The sequence below is a fragment of the Homo sapiens genome, chromosome 4, assembly GCF_000001405.40.
Source record: "Homo sapiens chromosome 4, GRCh38.p14 Primary Assembly".
NCBI classification, from domain to species: domain Eukaryota; kingdom Metazoa; phylum Chordata; class Mammalia; order Primates; family Hominidae; genus Homo; species Homo sapiens.
This window is the reverse complement of record NC_000004.12, coordinates 186,632,995-186,652,540: the sequence shown is the minus strand read 5'-3', so window position 1 is coordinate 186,652,540 and position 19,546 is coordinate 186,632,995. Positions and strand designations below refer to the sequence as shown.

Below are 19,546 nucleotides of genomic sequence, written 5' to 3'. Positions count from 1 at the left end.
TTTATAAAATAAGTGAAGTATATCATCCCTAAAGTTTGCAAGAAGTCAAATGTTATTCAGTACATTTCTGCCGATGTTGATGATGACAAACTTTTTCCTCCGCAAATTGGTTAACTTGAATCTTTGTGATAAATTCTGTCAGCATTTGGTTTTTCTATAGCTGCTGAATATTATTTGCTAAAATTATAGTTAAGATTTTGCATTTGGGTGCCTGAGATTAGTCTTTTTATGTCAACATGATGTTAACCTTATAAAATGGGTTGTGTACCCTATCCTCTTCTTCTGACCCTGCTATATCTGACATTTATAGGATCACTGAAGGCAATTCCCTGTAAATTGAGTTTTGCTGTCGATCTTATGTTTTAATGCCATCAATTTTCAACAAGAAACAGCTAGTAAGGTAGAATTGAAAGCAGAAGAGACGTCTGAAGACTAGGGTATGGGGTCCCTGTATGACTCCCCATGTGACTTTAGACTAGTCGTTTGATCCATTTTATTAGTGTTTTCTTTGGAACTCTGAAAGTTTGAACTAAATGAGTTCTGAGCTGCTTTCCAGCCTCGCCAGTCTATGAATAGAATTCCATTTTTGGCTCCACGCCTAATCCTGCCGGCACCAGTACTTCAGGGACAAACAATAGCTGCTGAGACGGCCACAGCTGCCGAAAGAGCGCGCAGCCGGCTGTAGTGACGTGTGGTCTTAGGACACCACCTGAGTAAAGACGGTGCGGTGCTGCGGAGATCTCCGAGCTCACAGTCCAGAGCTCTGAGGGGCTGGGTGCTGAGTGATAAAGTGAAGGAGAAGCTGCGTGTTTGCTCGTGGCCAGCAAGGCAATCTGTGTTTTGCAGAAGCGGAGGACGTGACGCCTCCCTGCCGGTGGACTAGTCGGCTTGTCGGCTCTGCATGTTCAGTGTTGGCTCTGGTGTGTGTTTCGGGGGGATCCAGTGTTGGCTCAGGTCCTTATGGGCCAGGACCACCTTCATTCATTATTGTATCCACCACAGAACCAGGCGTGATACTCATGAAAGATTTTTAAAAGCAGCCACATTTGAAGGATTTTCCCTTTCACCCATTGGAAGAGGAGGCATAGCAGTTCACACAGACAAATGCTGCCCTTGATGTAGTTTCTGTCACTCCCGCTCACTTGCGCCTTCTGTCCACCCATTGTACAGCTCTCAGGACTGTGCCATGATCTCTAAGTCACATACACAGCTTTGTTCTGGGGCCGTTTCATTTTATTTAAGCTGGTTGGGTACAGATCCGTAGACTAGAATGTTCCATGGATGACATGTTTACAAAGGGACAGTCAGGTGCTATCTGGAGTTCCACAGTTACAGTCTGTTATTTCTGTAGCTCATGGTGCTTTATTAATTTATTATTAATAAATTTATTATTAATAAATAAATTTAGTAATTATTTGTTAATTATTAATTTATGAATAATAATGAAGCATCAAATAATTTATCAATTATTAATAATAAATAAATTATTTAATAATAGTAAATAAATTATTTAATTATTTAATACTTCATTGTAAAAATCAAAATAATGACCAATTGTGTTGCCCTCTCTTTTCCGTGCAGTTGGTTGACCCTGGACCAGTGGTGTTGCCCTCTCTGTTTTCCATGCATCTGGTTGGTCCCTGTAGTTCTTTGGTAGCTTACCTAACTCAGAGCAAGCTCTCTTTCAACACTGAACCATGGACATTTAAAACAATTTTTAGGAGCCCAAGATTTGTAACACATGTCCTGTAAAGTTCTAAAGCACTTTTACTTAAATCTCTGACCTCTCATATCTTCCCTATTTATGTAATTTATGTTCATTTTTCCTGGTATTAGGCCTTTTTACTGTTCTTTCTTAGCTGCTGTATAAGAGAAGCAAGAGGTACGGTTAAAATCGAAAGGACAGTTTGGGTAAACACAGGGTGAGCACAGGTAAGTTTTTCTGACTAATGATAACATTAGGCAAATTAGTTTTGTAAAAAAAATTTTGATTAACTTATTGTACCCTGAGGCCCATGTTGCTGGTGAAGTGAACTCTTGAGGACAGAGAGGCTATTTTGCTTTACTCAGAATCAAAGAGTCTGTTCTGTCTTGGTCCTTAGTTGAAACAGCTTTAGAGTTGGAACTTTTGTGTGTTACAGGCATGAAGCTAGAATGTATAATTATTAATAGAGTTACTAAGTCAATATTTAGGGAGTTTTTTTTCTGTTATGGAGAGGAAAGAATATGAGAAATAATATACTCAGAACTGATGTATAATTTGTGTCATATTTTGTATATTCATAACTGAAAACAAAAGACTTAGCTGAGTTGTGGTTCTCAGCCAGAGATGTTAAGGAAGTCCCATTCCAGAGCCGAGGCATCCTGCTCTCTCCTCCTCCTGAGGGAAAGCATGACTCCACTTGGGAATTTTGTTTCATCCCAGATCACCTTTGGAGCTGAGTTACTTGTTTAATCCTCTGCTTTTTGTCTCGTGTGTAGAGTGATAAGCCTACCAAGCCATAAAACATTTCAAGTGAAGACACTAACAAAATACAGAAGGTAATAAAAGTGGTTATCTCTGAATAATGGAATTGTTCACCAGTGTTACCCAATTCTTTTAGAAAATATTTTTTCAGTACTTTCATTTGCTATCCAAATAAAAAGGTGTATTAGTATGTATATCCAGACTCATCAGATTGTATATGTTAAACATATGTAGTTTTTGGTATATCAGTTATACCTCAATAAAGCCATTAATTTTTTTAAAAAAGGTTTATTTCCCTAAGGCTACTTTCCATAAATTTAAACGACAGAGGTGGATTCTGTCGCGGTTCTGGAGGCCAGGAGTTTGAATTCCAGGTGCCGTGAGGGCCTGGCTCCCTCTGAAAGCGCTAAGGAAGGACCTATCCTCGCTCCTCCCAGTCTCCAGGAACCTGCTGGCTTGTGACGGAACCACTCCAGTCTCTGCATCTGTCATCAGACACCTTTCTTCCCTGGGTCTCTGACTCAAATCTCCTCTACCTTTCTCTTAAAAAGACTCTTGCTATTGAATTTAGGGTCCACCATAAATCCAAGGTGGTCTCATCTTGAGGTTCTTAATTACATCTTCAGGGATGCTTATCCACATCAGTTCACACTCACAGCTTCCAGGGTTGTATGTATCTTTTGGGCAGGAGCCACCATTCAATCCACCACAAAGGTATTTCCAAGAAGACGGAAAATATGCTGTTCAATGGAAATGTATATAGCCATTTAGATTCCTCTTAATTTTTTTAATGTTGTAAAGACTACATTTCATTTAACTTTTGTTCTAACAGGCTTTAATGATTTGGTCGGTAGTTGCAGACTTGTCAGGAAGATTCTGGGTGATGTTTTAGGACTTAATAAGCAGTTGAAGAACAGATGGAATCTTCAGGTGGGCTCTCCCGGCCACTTCTTTGTTGCATTTTTTGCAATGTTAATTATGCTTCTTATGGTACTTAAGAACCATACTTGAGAAATACTGTGTATTTCTTATATGTCCATAGTCCTATTGTGTTTCTCTGTATCTCAAATAGTATTTTAAAGAAATAGATAATATGCTTTGTTCCAGAATATGTCCAGTAGTAATTATTATAATGACTGAAAACAAAACTGTTAAAAAAAGAGTGAATTTTTTTCAACTTCTGTCAGCACCTGTACTGAGGAGGTCAGCATGGGATGGAATCACCGGGAAACCTTCATGAGATGGTACAGGCTGGGTCCTCATGAGTGGAGAGTGTGATTTGGTGGCTCTGGCATGGAGCGGGAAGAAGGGGGGTTGGCATTCACACCCCATGATCCCGATGCACACCTCTGCAGGAAAAGGCTCGAGCAGTAGAGCCTTCTGAACACTTTCCTTGGTAGGAAAGTTTCTCCTGCTGACTCAGACCTTCAGGAAATTATTCCACATGCCTAGACCTCATTTCCTCATGTTTTAAGGTACAGGATTTGGGCTAGAGCATCGTGAAAGACCCTCTGGCTTTAGCAAACTTTATTTTTACAGTAAGAGGATACTTAGCACCCGTGATCCATTTCATTAAAAATTTGCTGCAACTCAAAAACATTAGAAAAAGTCATATAGGATATGCCACTTCAATATTTCTAAGGAGTTTGAGTTTTTTATATGTGTGGCCATATATTAGTGTATATAAGGCTTAAAAAATAATTGATTTGAGATTTTCCAGCCTAAGTTTAGTTTTCAGCCATCAAATATGTCTATATTTTCACTCTGAGCTTTAAAATGTTTTAATATTTAAATTTATTTGAGTAATATGCCCATTAAAGATTAAAGATGGCCACAATAAAGTAGTGTATAAAATGAAGTTCTCCTGTCTCCTCTCTTCCCTCCTCTCTCCTCTCTTCCCTCCAGCTACCTGTTCCATTTCCCAGGAGTAGCCAGAAGTAATATGTCAGGGTTGAACGTGTCACAGCTTCTGTGCACAGGAGTTTGTGCACACATTACATCCGTACACACATATGCATGTCTCATCAGCCCCTTGCCTTGCTGGTTTTTGTAGTGCTCCTTGTCTAAAAGTTACCCAAACAGTGTAAGTTTCACAGTCCGCCCATGAGTGTATTACAGGTGTTTTATTGTAATTGTCCTTAATGTTGCTGATTCTTAAGCACACTGAATGTCCCTGGGAGCAGTCCCTGCCACAGTCAGGATTGAAGGGTAGAAATCTAACTTCCGGATCCTGGTAGTAACAACTCCTGAAGAAATTACACTGAAGACCCTAAAACTTAAACTAGACACTTCCTTTACCACCAAAAATACTATGATTACAGTTCTTAAACTTAGTATCAAGTAGAATATATGAAAGTGTTTCAGAGACATCATCGGGTGAAAATGGTATGTATCTGAAGTGCGTGCCTGCAGTCAAGGGTTTGTCAGAATAATGCTATGATTAATACAACATCGTGAGAAAGGGATGGAGCCCAGAGGACTCCTTCCTGCAAAAGGAGCTGGGCTTGGTGGAGAGAACATTCTAATCCTAGAAGAAAGTGAGATCACTGAATAATTTTGTTGTATAATCATTATACATATTAAATATGATTGATACATTTAGAGTTGTCTATGTGAATTAAGAGCTTGGACTCTGGAATCAGACAGACTTGGGGTCAAATCTCAGCTTTGCATTTAGCTGGCAATGATTTTACTTCTCTAAACCTCAGATATCTTAAAAATAAAGGTAGTGTGTATTGGTAGCTCCCTTCTAGGGTTGCTGTGAGTATCCAGTGAGAGTGACGCATATAAAATGCCTACCCCAGAGCTGGGTCTTGGGAAACACATAATTAGTGGTGGCTAAAAAGCGAACTGTGAGAGGACAGTTTAATATTCACCTCTGCCTTTTACATGTGGTAGTTGTTTCCTTAAATAAATTGTATGCCTTTGAGGACAAGAGCCTTGTCTTAGGCTTTCGTATATGTCTCTCATGGTGACATTTGGGAACAGCATTCTGAGCAGTTGAATGACAGTGCACAGTGAACAAGTGGGTGACTGAGATCGTAAACATTATGACATTACTACTGTTTATGAACATAGATTTAATTTAGTCACTTTTAGTGCTTAGGAAAAAGAAGCAAAAACAAAACAAATTAGTAGAGTCATGATTCTCCAAGTCACAGCTAAGCACAGAGCCTCTTGATTGGTACGTGTTCAGGTGAAGTAGTACACCAGCAATTCTAAAGCAGGCCTCTTCGTCGCCCGCTGAGCCAAGTGGAGACTCATAGCAGAGAACGGGGAGCAGGAGCATGGCAGGGCAGTATCAGCACAGTCAAAATCTAGGAAAGTTTTACTTTTTTTTTTTTTTTCTATGTAGGTTTAAGACAGATGTCTACAAAAATTTGGATTTAGATAAATATTTTTTGCTTCAAATTTTAACCACAGAAAAGGATTTTGAATATTGCAGATGTTAAAGTTTTTAGTTTTGACAGGCAGCATTTGAAATTGGAGATGCTATAAAGGATCAGACATAATTGGTGACTATTTAAATTTAAATTATTTAAATTTAAAATTCAGTTCTATGGTGACATTAGCTCTGTTTCAAGTGCATAGTGGCCACATGTGGCCAGGTGCTACCATATTGGACAGTGCAAATTATAGAACACACAAATCATCACAGAAATTTCTGTTGGACAGTGCTTTTCTAGAACGTGTATGGCTGTGGTTCATGAATTATTGTAAAATAAAAGGGCGGAAAGGCCAAAATCATTGCAGGGGGTAGAGGAAAATAATCAGAGTAAAAGGAAGGTATCGGGTGACCAGATTTTTACCTTTTTTCCTTGATCTTTTTCCCTTCCTGTGCTTATTCTCTAGTAGAGTAATTGAAAAGTGTTCCAAGTAAATTTCCTGCCGGGTGAGGTGAACATAGGGCTGCAGAGATTCCTTCCTTTAGAGCCAGGACCCTGTCTTTCAGTGTGGGGTCATCGATGACTCGTACTACAGATTGCAAGTGCTTGCTCTCTTGTTGCAGTTGGACCTGAATCCTATTCAGAAATCCTATTTTTTTCCTTTTCTAGCTGCCATCTTTCATGTGTGTGTGTGTGTGTGTGTGTGTGTGTGTGTGTGTATATATTTTTTTTTTTTTTTTTTGTGAGACAGTCTCACTCTGTAACCTAAGCTCAATTGCAGTGGTCCGCCCTCAGCTCACTGCAACCTCGGCTTCCCAGGTCCAAGTGAGTCTCATGCCTTAGCCTCCCAAGTAGCTGGGATTACAGGTGCACGCCACCACACCCAGCTAATTTTTGAATTTTTAGTAGAGATGGGGTTTCTCCATGTTGACCAAGCTGGTCTCGAACTCCTAGCCTCAAGTGATTCACCTGCCTTGGCCTCCCAGAGTGCTGGGATTATGCCATCCATTTTTATCCACTGTGCTGATGTTGAAATTTATTTTTTACAGAACCACAGTCTTCAGTCCCTCCCTGGTTTCTTTCACTTTTAATGTAGACTTACTAGATTTATTGAACCCCCAACTTCAATACTTTGCTAAATGACGTTGAGTAAGCAACTTAATCTCTCTAAGCCTGTAAAAATGGAGATATCTTCACATATTTACACATCATATGTGAAGATATACACATATACATATGTGGATATATCTCAGTTTTTTACAGGCATATATATATATATATATATATATATATATATATATATATATATATATATATATATGTAATGAAGTATCTATTAAAGCATAATACCTTGGCTAACAAACTGTCAAAATTGAGTGGCTTGAAATAGCTGTCATAATTTAGTTTAGGGTTCTGCTGGGCAGTTCTTCCGCCCTTGAAATAACTCATAATTTAGGGTTCTGCCGGGTGCTTCTTCCACTCTTGTGCAGGCTTGGCTGGTGGCCAGCTGGTCCTCGGTGGCCTCACTCACATGTCAGGCAATGGTGGAGCAGCACGAATGACTAGACCACGTGTCTTCTCTTCCAACCAAGTCCACACTTTTCTGGAACACAGAGTTGCTGGCAAGAGCCTTCCTCCTGCTTCCTGTTTTCTGTGTGTAGCTCCTGCACTGTGTTTTCTGTCAGTGCCCTACAATCTATCCTGTCTTACTGTTTCTCACATGTAAAGTAGTCTTTGCCAACTTCTAGCCTTCATCCTGGTTTCTTGCAAACAAGACTGTCTTATCTCCACTTTCTGAGTGGACAGTACAACACAGTTGACTGAATGCATTCATCGCTCCAGCTGTGTGGACCATGTCACATGACTGTCTTCACCTACTAGTCCTTTGATGTTCACTTTTACGTCTATCTGCTTCGCGAAGTCTACTTTATCTCTTGAATTTTGAGAAGTTTGGAGATGGTTTTGTTACTGATTTATAAGAAATGTCAAAGAGCACAATTTTATATTGAAACATAGCTGATCTGACATTCTCTCTGTTCTAAATGAACTCATCTCTAAATGTCTAAGTGGCGTTGAAAGGCCATGAGTGGTTTTTAATGATGTTCCTCAAGTGCCATAAACTTTGTTACTGCATTGTGCATACATTTCTGGGGTGAACTGGTAACTGCTCATTGGTGAGAATATACTGTGTCTGCTGTCTCAGCCCACCTACATTTATCATAGTTTTATTATATAGAATGCAGTGTTTTTCTGGACCAAGGAAAGAAAAATTTCTAGTTTTTCTTCCTTTCTATTTTTAATTATCAGTGCTTGGCAGAAGAGGAAGATGAAACACAAAGTTACAAAAAGAAAACAGTTGCATATACGTTTTTCTGCTTTTGCCTCTTTTATCTCCTAACTTGCTTTTTTGGATCTATTAAATGACTAATGATGAGTCATTCCTGGTTTTTTCGTTACAGTTTATGAAAGTCACAGTTCAGAGTTCATGGAGTGTTGAAATACTATAATACAGCAAATTACGCAGTCAGGTGTGATAGGGAGAAAAAAACGCTCATCTGAGCCTCAAGAGAACGAAATCCTACTCCTGGCTTTGTTAATGACTTACTAGTGGCCTTGGAAAATTTTAACTTCTCTTTGGTTCAGGCAGCTCAACTTGATAATCTTAAAGGTTTCTGTCTAGTTCTGAAGTTCTGTACAGTTTCCTTTAAGTATATATCTTTCTGGGATTTGGCAAAAAATATTGCAGATGAGCACAGATGTCGAAAATGAAAGAAGTGGACATACTTACTAGGACACTTACTACCTACTAGGTTAATAACATGTAGTGGGTATATGGAGCAGTTGTACTTTAGAATTATGTTTGAAGTCGATGTTTCAAGTGGGTGGGGGTGGGGGGGGGATGAGGAGCAGGAGTGATGCTCACAGAGGCGTGAATGAGTGTGAACACAGAACACACTCGGTAGATTGTCTTGTATGGCCAGAGTGCAGGGGGTTCGGGTAGCGTTCCCCGGGGTGTTAGGCACTCAGTGTGGTTGATTGCTGTAAGGTAAAGCGCACCTCGAAAAGACACCCAGAATGCCTAGTATTAAATTACATCATTAGGAAATTCTGTTTTCATTTTGTATGAAAATCCCACAGGAAGCCCTAATTTTACTGTAATTTTTCGCAGAGGGGGTGCATCACCTGGTGCCACCCCCATAGGACACTCATGCACGGCCTCTCTCTGGAGATGGCATTAGGGAAAAGCACTACGGCAGCCTTGCTAAGATTCTTTTTGCTAAGTGTTGTGAATTTAGAAAGAAAGTTTGTTGTTGTTATTTGTTTGTTTTTGTCAGTCTGAAATATCTTACGTGTTCTCCGCAGAAAAGTAAACCCACCCTGCAGGGTTTCTTGCAGGATCTTGATTTGTGAATTATGCCTCCTGAGTAGACCGGTGCCGTCCAGCAGAGCTTCCTGCCGTGGGGAGCGCGTTCTCCATCTGCCTTGCTCCATGCTGTCGTCACCGGCCCCTGGGGGCTGCCGTACCCTGGAAATTTGGCTTAGTGTGATTGAGAAACTGAAGTGTAAACTTTACTGAATTTTAATTAATTTAAATTCCACTGGTCTCAGGAGGCTAGTGGTGACTGTATTTGTTAGTGGAAGTCTACATCTTCGTCTTCTCTCTAGTTTACAGTTACATGTGAGACAATCTCGTCTTCGTAAAAGTAATACTTCTCCTGGTCTACTTCCTGCCTCACTTTCTCTTTTCTTCCAGGCTCCTCCAAAGTACGTCCTCCTTAAAATCGTCTGCCTTTGGCTTCTGGGACACGAAGCTTCTCTTCCAGCAGATTGCTTCCTAGGTTGAAGATCGGCCCGCTATTTTCTCTACCGTTTTTATAGGCCCACTGTTCTCTTTAGTATTATGCTCACTTCTGTGGGTGTGGTCTGAGTCACACCTGTCTGTATGCCCACAGCTTCTTCCCTGCGCCTCGGGTCTGTGCTTCTAAATACCCGCAGGGTGCCGCCAGCCCCTAGCCACCCATCGCAGCACGTAGCCACCCATTGCAGCACCTAGCCACCCATCGCAGCACCTGGCACACGCTGCCTATAAATATGTACTAACGCATTCTCTGTTGGCTCACTTATGGGCTGTGGATTTGTATCATTTTCAGGTTTACAGTAGTTTATCTCTCTCACTCTAGCACATATTTTTAATTCTGCTCATTCATAGTTTTAAGAAATTCACATGTTCACACGTTTAAGTGTTTCTTGAGGATGACGGAGAGATAGCTATGTGAGCAAGCTATGCAAGAAAGACAGCCACTGTCCTCGTGAGTTTTCCAGTACAGAAAAGAAGACTAATTTTTAAATGAGGGGCTTTAATACTGTGGAGTAATATTATGATAGAAGAAATATTAGAACTTGGAGAATGCAGCAGCAGGAACCCACGCCAGGCCCTGCAGTGAGTTTAAAAGTTTAAACCCGCTTCAGTTTAAACTGAAGGGTGAGGCAGTGACTCAGGCTGAAGTGGAAAGAAAGGGGCTAATATTACCATTCATTGCATTGGGATGAAATTAAAGCTCCATCTGAGTTAACGGAGGAGAATTAATTTGAGGAGTATAGAACATGCAAATAATTTCAGACCCAGGAAGGAGGTGGTCAGGTAGCCTTTTGGCTTTATGTGGATTTTGTTTTTTTTTTTTTGACAGAGTTTTGCTCTGTCGCCCAGGCTGGAGTGCTGTGGCGCAATCTCGGCTCACTGTGGCCTCCTCTTCCCAGGTTCAAGCTTTTCTTCTGCCTCAGCCTCCTGAGTAGCTGGGATTACAGGTGTGTGCCACCATGTCAGCTAACTTTTTGTATTTTTGGTAGAGACAGGGTTTCGCCATGTTGGCCAGGCTGGTCTCGAACCTCTGAGCTCAGGTGATCCGCCTGCCTCAGCCTCCCAAAGTGCTGGGATTACAGGTGTGAGCCACCATGCCCAGCCTTTTTATGTGGAATTGGTAGTATGGACACAGGTACAGCTTTCCTTAGCCTTCTTGTGTGCTCTAAGTAAATCGTGAAGTGGGGAGTTGTATTTGCTCATAAGTATTTGCGCAGTGCTGTTGGTGAGTGATTAAGTGCTCTGCAGAAGAATACTGTTTTCCTGGGAACGTGTCAAGCTGCTATTCCACGTGATGTTACCATCAATCACAACTTCTTGGTGGACACATTACAATAATTAGATGTGGGACTAATCAAGGGGCTCCTTGTCGTTCCTGAACTATTTACAACCACAGTTAGGAGAGGATGGTACATTTTTGATTGGGGAAAAAAAGAGATTAACTTAAAAGGTTTTTGACTAATGAAAATTAAGCTTGTGCCACATTCAAGCGTCATTTTTACACCCGTAAGCACTGTGAAGCATTTCCCTTTAGCACCTTTTAATCTATACCTATGATCTGGGAAAACCCCAGTGTGGAGGTATGATATAGCCTTCTGTTGCCCTTGTTAAAAAGAGAACACTGTTTCGTTGAATTGTGAGGAAAATAATGTTGATTTAGATTCTTAGTAACTACTTAAGGAAAAAAACCTTTGAATTAAGTGAAAACACAAGCCTTTCACTTATTGCTGCAGAGAAACATGTTGAATATCCCTTAAGTGATAGTTCTGTGAAATTAGTAAAGATTATGGGAGAAAATAAATTAGATTAATAATGTCTATTCTTAAATGTGAATTATTTAAGGTATTTCCATATGAGAAAAAAGCCGCAGCACTGGGAGGAGAACGTTCAGCCCTGGTGATTGTCCTGCCACACAGGCTCCACCTGGTTTTAAGGTCGGAGGTGCAGATCATCCTGCATGCACCTGTTCACCATCAACACAGATTGGGGACGACATTTTAGTGCTTAGGGGAGTTTTGTTTGTGGTTTTGGTGAAGCATAAGAATACATTTTATAAATTGTAATTGCCTTCTAGTTCCAAAATATGCAGACAGTTGAGCAGTTATTAAAGTTCTCAAGAGAGGTCAAAACTCATAGATATTCTAGTTTGATAGGAAATTTGTTTTCTAGAATACAGAATTTGAGGATCATTAATTTTCTTTTATGGGAAATTAAATGAGCAAGATTACCTGGAAAATTACATTACTTTTTATAACAGTTCTTTATTTATGAGAGTGGATAATTCAAAGGTAATAAATTAGAGTTAACACTTTATTTTCAATAGTCCTTATTAATATAGTTATAGAAGTCATTTCTGTCAACTCTCAGTTATCTCTTGAGCAGTTAAAGGAGATGGATGAGATTGAAATCCTGGATAACTTCATCTCACTTTTAAAAAATCTTTTCTGACAAAATGTATATTGAAACCACTAACAAATAGAAAATGTAACTGATTTGAGTTTTTCCACTTTCTTACTATTTGTCATTTATCCAATATGAGTCATTAAAGTGAGAAAGTATAAAGTATGTTGTTGTTTGTAGACAAAATAACCGTACCTGGAAATTAAATTTCTTTAGTAAGAAATTTCTTTCTTCTTTTTTTCTTGAGAAGAAATTTGCTCAGACTTTTACAAGAGTATGGTTTTGTTTTTTATTGTATTTTTGAGATGGAGTCTCACTTTGTTGCCCAGGCTGGAGAGCATTGGTGTGATCTCTGCAACCTCCACCTCCCAGGTTCAAGCAATTCTCCTGCCTCAGCCTCCCAATTAGCTGGGATTACAGTCACGCGCCACCATGCCTGGCTAACTTTTTGTAGATACAGGGTTTCATCATGTTGGCCAGGCTGGCCTCCAACTCCTGACCTTAAGTAATCCACCCCCCTGGGCCTCCCAAAGTGCTGGGATTAAGGCATGAGCTACCGCACCTGGCCAAGAGTGTGATTTTAATTGCAGTATTTTGTAATTGACCTTATTTTGTGAGGATTAATGAACTGTTATCATTTTACAGGTCTCATCACAACTACGTCAAGGAAGCTAGACCGAGAACAGCAAGATGAACACATATTAGAGGTAAGTTTTTTTTTTATCTTTAATACTTAAAGATTCGTAGTTACAAGTATCATGGGAAAGAACAATCTTGTTCCCATTAACCAGTATTCTTAGCTATTAATATTTTGTTGTATTAATATTATTTACTGGTTGTTAGGAAAAAGGAATATAAGGAAATTGTTAATGAATATAGCTCTTGTCCCCTTTATCCCTCAATACCATTCCCAGAATACACAGCCACTGTCATGGGCCGGATTCAGATCTTTGTATTTTATGCTTGCGCACACACAGGGGGCGAACAGATCTATAAACAGTGTCATGTGGAATTCATTTGCATTTACATAAGTGATATTTTTCTGTATACATCTTTTTTTCCCCTTACTATTATGTTTTTGAGATATATTTATGTTGGTATTTATAGATCTGTTTCAACCTTTTTAACTAGAGGTAATTTGTTTCCAGATTCATTTTTTTGCTCTTAAACAGTTGCATTATTTTTGCGTTTTAAACTATGAATTACTTAGTTTGTGCTTCTTAAATACCTCAAAAGTAAAAGTAGATTGAAGTCTCAGATGTGCTCTTCTAGAAAGTTCTAATAAGGCTTCTCATTCTCATGGATAATTTACAATGCCTTTTAGTCCTTAGAAAACCCACAGCTTGTTATCATGTATTGGTCACCTGGTTTTTGGCTAATAGTAAATACATTGCAGAAAAAGGCCGCGAGTAATTTGGAGAGGGAAGGTGGAGCGTAACATGGACATCAGGTTGATGAGATCTCTGGGCCGTGTCGTCAGGAAGCGGCTGAGAGACAGGCAGACCGCAGAGAGGGGCGTAGAGACATCTCTCTGTCCCGTGTGGAAGACTGGTGTTCATTATCGGAGCCAGCCTTGGAAAAGGCCACCTGCCTTTGTTTAATTGAGTTATCAGTGCTCTTCTTCCACTCTAACAGTATAAGTGACAAAATTCTAAACTGTAACTTTTGAAAATTTCTTTTAATATTGCTGTTTATAATGCTGCCTGCTTAATTTCATTTTATCCTTGGTCAAATTTTCTTAACGTTGTCAGTAAATACTTAGTTTTTATAGTTGTGCAGTGTATGTGTGTGTGTGTGTGTGTGTGTGTGTGTGCATTGGGAACTGGGAATACCCTCTGGAAAAGGTGGTTTCACAGCCACAGTGCTTTCCCCATTAGGAGCTGCTTCATGTATTACATCTGAGTTTTTAGTTCATAGGGTGTAAAGTTCGCTTGAATTCATTTTCTTTATGATAGAGCAAAGTTTTGAATTTTCATTCTGTCACTACAAGGATTGACAGAAGGGGCAAATGCAGTCACTGACAAAGATAAACAGATGGGAAGATAGGAGAGCAGTAGTTACACTGACATTTTGCTCCAGTCCTTTCAAATTTCACATTAATTGCATACGTCACTCCAGAGTCCTCTTTTCTCCGTGAATATCAAAGGCTAGGTGGAAGCAGATACCAGATATATAGCACTTTGAAAGTCATATTTGGACATGGATGGGAAATAAATTTTCCCTTCAACATACATAATTAGTGTATTTTTCAGTAGGGTCCTTTTGGGGTGGTATATTTGAGAGCCAGTGCTGGCATTGATTTGGCTGTCTTAAAGATAGTGTCTCCATTACATGTTGAAAGCTGTGACTAGCTACTGGTTCTTGAACCCAAAGTTAGGAACAATTTGGTGATGAATACTAAAAAACATAGTGCTTGCTTGTATTTCTCTTTCTTGTTTTTCTAAAGCTCATATGCAAACTGATGAAAAGGAAATGTTTCGAGAGTTTAAAATTAAAATAGTAATGTTTTATTTTGAAAAAGCTTAGGAAGGTAAATAATATAAAGCAACTACTTAAATACTTTTGACAGGCACCATCGGGATATAGTCACACTTTAATAAACAGGGTTTACAACTGCCAGACTTCAGTCTCCTTGACCGTTTTTAGTGTTTTGGTAATTCAGTTGGGAAGAAGGTAGGGGTGTGGATAGGGGAGAATAAGCATTACTAATGTCGTTATATTTAATGTGCCCATTGACGTAAACGTGAACATTTGATTTAAGGGTGAAATGGTCTCTTAGGGACATAGAAACAGTCATCAGTGCAGTCCTCAAGACTCTCTGATATTTTTTCCTAAATAGAATATAAGAATATATGGATAGTTTACTTAAAATGAAAGTTATTTTACCGAAAATCTTATTTAATGAGTTGGTCTTAAATTTAAATGTTTAGGTCCACTCCTATAAAAATCTGTAGAGGAAAACAGCCAAAATAAAATGGTGATTACTGGTATTAAAAGGTGTACTATTTATTTAACACATACTTTAAAATGACAATTTAGCATATTTTACTGATGAAGTTTAACATTTTTAACATGATATATGGAAATTTTGTTTTTAAGTATGTAGAGTGTGTTGTTTTTAAGAAGACTCTTTAAATGTGTAAAGCAGAATCTTCACGTATCTCTTCCATGGCCTAAAGGTATTAAGTTTTTGGTAGCTTAACATTTGGGTGAGGTTCACTTTCCACTTAAACTAATGCGAGAAGAGAGCCTGCGTGGTCAGGAAGGCGCGCAGGGGTGCAGCTGTTTCTTTCTTAGCCATGCCCGGCCCCCTGACTCTCTCCCTGTAGAGATGGGAGGTGCTGCCTCACCTCCTTACAGCCCTGTTGTTGGAATGAAGATCTGCTGTGTATGTTGTCATCGTGCCCTGCAAAATGCAGAGCTTTACACACATGCGGAGTAGCATGAGGAAGAAGATGCTCACTTTTTATATAGTATATCTTAACATGTTAATCTGTTAACTTTAAAAAAACAGGTTACTGTGACAGACAATGGTAGTCCCCCCAAATCAACCATTGCAAGAGTCATTGTGAAAATCCTTGATGAAAATGACAACAAACCTCAGTTTCTGCAAAAGTTCTACAAAATCAGACTCCCTGAGCGGGAAAAGCCAGACCGAGAAAGAAATGCCAGACGGGAGCCGCTCTATCACGTCATAGCCACCGACAAGGATGAGGGCCCCAATGCAGAAATCTCCTACAGCATCGAAGACGGGAATGAGCATGGCAAATTTTTCATCGAACCGAAAACTGGAGTGGTTTCGTCCAAGAGGTTTTCAGCAGCTGGAGAATATGATATTCTTTCAGTGAGTTAAGATTGTAGTACTGTAATTTTTCATATGTTGTGACTATAAACCTTATTTTGTATTTTTTCTTTAGTAACTTTATTTCTATTTTGTAAACGGCTGAAGTGTTTGTGACCTGCTGGCCCCATTAGGCAATGCCGGATAACGTTTGAGAATCAGGGTGCTTATTGTTTATGTTGAATGTGGTCATGAAATCATTGTTCTTCTGTCAGGCATTCCATACACAGAATACAAATGTGAAATGTTTGAAATTGGCTCAGTTTAAGACCAAACCAGTCTGTGCTTCATTCATTTCTGGGTTGTAACTCCTGATTTGCTGTTTTTAATCCCCTCTGCCCAAATGTTGTAGATTAAGGCAGTTGACAATGGTCGCCCTCAAAAGTCATCAACCACCAGACTCCATATTGAATGGATCTCCAAGCCCAAACCGTCCCTGGAGCCCATTTCATTTGAAGAATCATTTTTTACCTTTACTGTGATGGAAAGTGACCCCGTTGCTCACATGATTGGAGTAATATCTGTGGAGCCTCCTGGCATACCCCTTTGGTTTGACATCACTGGTAAGCATTCCCCCTCATTTTCGTTGTCCGTATGGGTTACACTGAGGAGAACCTGCATACGGTTTGATGAGTTTTGGGCACAAGTCAGGATTTAAAATTGGGAATAAGATCGACAGGTGGAGAATTTGCTTTCAACTATAATATTTTGATTGCAAAATTTTTCACAATATATAGCATATGTTAAACTTGCTTAAAATAGGTGCTCTATTCTACCAAGTTATTGATATAAAAATAAAATTTTGTAAAAGTTTGTCAAAGAGTTACAGACAAAAGCCTTGAATGTTTTGGTCCAGAAGCACAGCTTCTTACTGTTTATTTATTGATGCATAACCTATGGCACATTGTTATTTTTATTGATGCATAACCTATGGCACATTGTTATTTTTAGTGAATATGATTGGAACATTTAAAGTAACTATGCCTGTGTGACTGTCACATGTCAATATTTAATAGGGAATAAGCTTACAAATTTTGATTCATACCAGCTTATGGTACAAAGTTATGGTACCAGCTATGGGTTTTTAGTTTTATATTACCTCATTTTCAACAGGTAGGAGGATTCATTAGATTATTTCATCCTCCAGTAAAGTTTACTTGCTAAAGCCATTTCTTCTTCTTATTTGTCATGTAGTTTAGATAAGACATTGAATGTAATACCCTATTCAACGTATTTTTTAAATTTCACATTAGAGTTTGCATCTTAGATTTTTTTTTATTGTTTCCTCACATTTTAGTTACAAGGGTATTTAAGAACAAGAGTCTCTGTTGCGATTCATCTCTCTGGGGGGGACTTTATGTCCATTTTTCCCCTTCTGCCCCTTAGTCATGCTAACCCGAAGCCCCCAAAAGTTGCAGCTGATGGACCCAGACCACTGGGCATGTCAGGCCAGGCCAGGCCTTACCTTTGGAACTTTCATGCTAAATGCTTTGGCTGTTTTACCAATTTGGTGATTGTGTGAAATTGATGTCATCAGCACCTGTGAAACCCTTACAGCATACTTTCAAGGGAAGGGGAAAAAGAGACTATTTTCGTAGTTAACGATGCTCAAAACCGTTTGTTTGCTTTCTGTTAACTTTTATCACATTTCCAGATCAACAGGCTGCTGCTGTGCAGTACCTGACCTCGCTGTGTAACCTTGCTGTGCTTGGACCTGGTTTGATTGATTGCTTTTATTCTGTGCTTGCTTTCCATGCGCGCTTGCTTCTTTTTGGCTGTGCCAGGAGACACGCTTGCTAGAGAAGTTTTTTACATCTTTCAGATGACTTGTGACCCGACCTGTACAGCAGAAGGTATCTGCTGAGATCACATAATTTGCCTCAGATTATGAGATCTAAAATAAAAGCCTTGTTTTGTTTTTGTTTTTTTTTACTTTTTTATTTCCAGTGACTATCTTCCATCGCTGTTTTTTTTTTCATAGTGTGCGCATGGTCACCCATCCCACTCGCCAGCGTGTTGCCACGTAATGCTCACCTAGCTCCGTGGTTTTAGGTTTCTCTTAAGACGTCGTGTGTGTTGTTTTGTTTCTTGGTTAGATTTAGTAGTAGAATTTCATCATGACATTAAACCTCTATTTTCATCCCATTTCATTTTATATCTAGGTCGATGGATTTGAAAAGAGAGTTTTATCAAAAATATTTGGATAATATTAATAGGATAGAAACTTTTGTTTCATTAGGCTTTGTGTTTGTCAAAAATGAGAAAAAAAATTCTTTTCAAATAGTTTATAGTAGCCAGGACTAATTAAAGTTAACGACCGCTATTTTTTTTAGAGTTAACATTGATTTTTAATAGCTATTTTATTAGGTCAATTTGCTCAAAGTATCAGAAAGTTTTGTTAGTAAGTAAGCTTTTAAATGGCCCAGTGATGGTATCTACTGAGATACAAATTGAAGAGGAATTCAGAACCCCTGAAAAAGCAAATTGAAAGTAACTCATTGGCAATATTAGCAATGTCTTTGTTTTCAGAGTTGCTTTCTTGCTTTCTTTCAGTTAGTTGCTTCCTGGACAATTAGGGTTCACTTTGCCTTAACAAGCATTGTCTTTCTAATTGGCCACTCTTTTCTTTCAAAATGCTCCTCCTTGGAAGCTCTTTGCTAGTATATTAGAAGATTTTTCAGTGCCATTAAGTATGAGAAAGCCACAGAATAAACTACAGAGTGTTATCCTGTGACCTGTTTTTACTTTTTTTTCCCCAAATTAGGTGGCAACTACGACAGTCACTTCGATGTGGACAAGGGAACTGGAACCATCATTGTTGCCAAACCTCTTGATGCAGAACAGAAGTCAAACTACAACCTCACAGTCGAGGCTACAGATGGAACCACCACTATCCTCACTCAGGTAAGTGAATTACTAATGACACACTTGTCAGAGGAGGATGGAGATAACGTTCTGACTTAGGGGTCCACGGGCAATATGAGCGGTGGATTCTGCCCTGTGAGGGTCTAAAATCAGAAGTTTACACACATGCACACTAAGAATTTTTATTTAGGGAAAGAAAATTAATTCCATATCCCAATTTGGGTTTTGCATATAATTAAGCAGTTTTGAGAATTTTGAGAGAAGACTTCAAAAACCAAACCAAACCAACGTTATACCATCAAAATCTTCGAATTTTACACTCATTTTAAACTATGTTAACATCAAGTACATCACTGTTGAGAATGAATTGTTTAAATCATTTTCAGTAAAACTGGTTAAAGTGATTAATCTTCTAAATCACTTTTTTTTGGATTCCTCCTGGCTATATAAAATAACTAATAAAATTGTTCTAATAATTCCTTTACCACCTTTATTTGTTCCTATCTGGTAATTGAGATGGCCAGATTATGGGGATTTCAAACTTAAGTGTTAAAATCCTGTAAGTGAAATTTAAATTCTGTTCTTTCTTATTACTTTTCTTTGGTTCTCAGTGTGGGCCGTTTGGAGTGTACAGAAGGAATATTCCTAGATAGAAGAAGCATCCTGAGGTTTCAGGAGCAAGCAGAGTGTCATTCACTCATTTATTTACCAAGTATTTGTTGAACACT

General features: G+C 39.0%; 1 protein-coding gene across 4 annotated transcripts in view, besides 1 other annotated feature; it reads left to right on the top strand.

Moving 5' to 3' along the window:
* The window catches only part of FAT1 (FAT atypical cadherin 1), a 138,903-nt gene that overhangs the window by 74,156 nt on the left and 45,201 nt on the right, over nucleotides 1–19,546 (top strand). For all 4 annotated transcript variants that reach the window (NM_001440455.1, NM_001440456.1, NM_005245.4 and 1 more), the window contains exons 4-7: nucleotides 12,758–12,819; nucleotides 15,627–15,956; nucleotides 16,306–16,516; nucleotides 18,718–18,857. In NM_001440455.1, the coding sequence (NP_001427384.1) occupies nucleotides 12,758–12,819; nucleotides 15,627–15,956; nucleotides 16,306–16,516; nucleotides 18,718–18,857 (743 nt within the window). The remainder of the gene's footprint in view (nucleotides 1–12,757; nucleotides 12,820–15,626; nucleotides 15,957–16,305; nucleotides 16,517–18,717; nucleotides 18,858–19,546) is intronic.
* Nucleotides 16,463–16,632: an enhancer, noted in NCBI's record as "experimental_76895 CRE fragment used in MPRA reporter constructs". NCBI's record gives its function as "activates a minimal promoter by MPRAs in K562 erythroleukemia cells, with activity observed for both the introgressed and non-introgressed 4:187557148 variant alleles {active_cell/tissue: K562}" and the evidence as "EXISTENCE:reporter gene assay evidence [ECO:0000049][PMID:34662402]".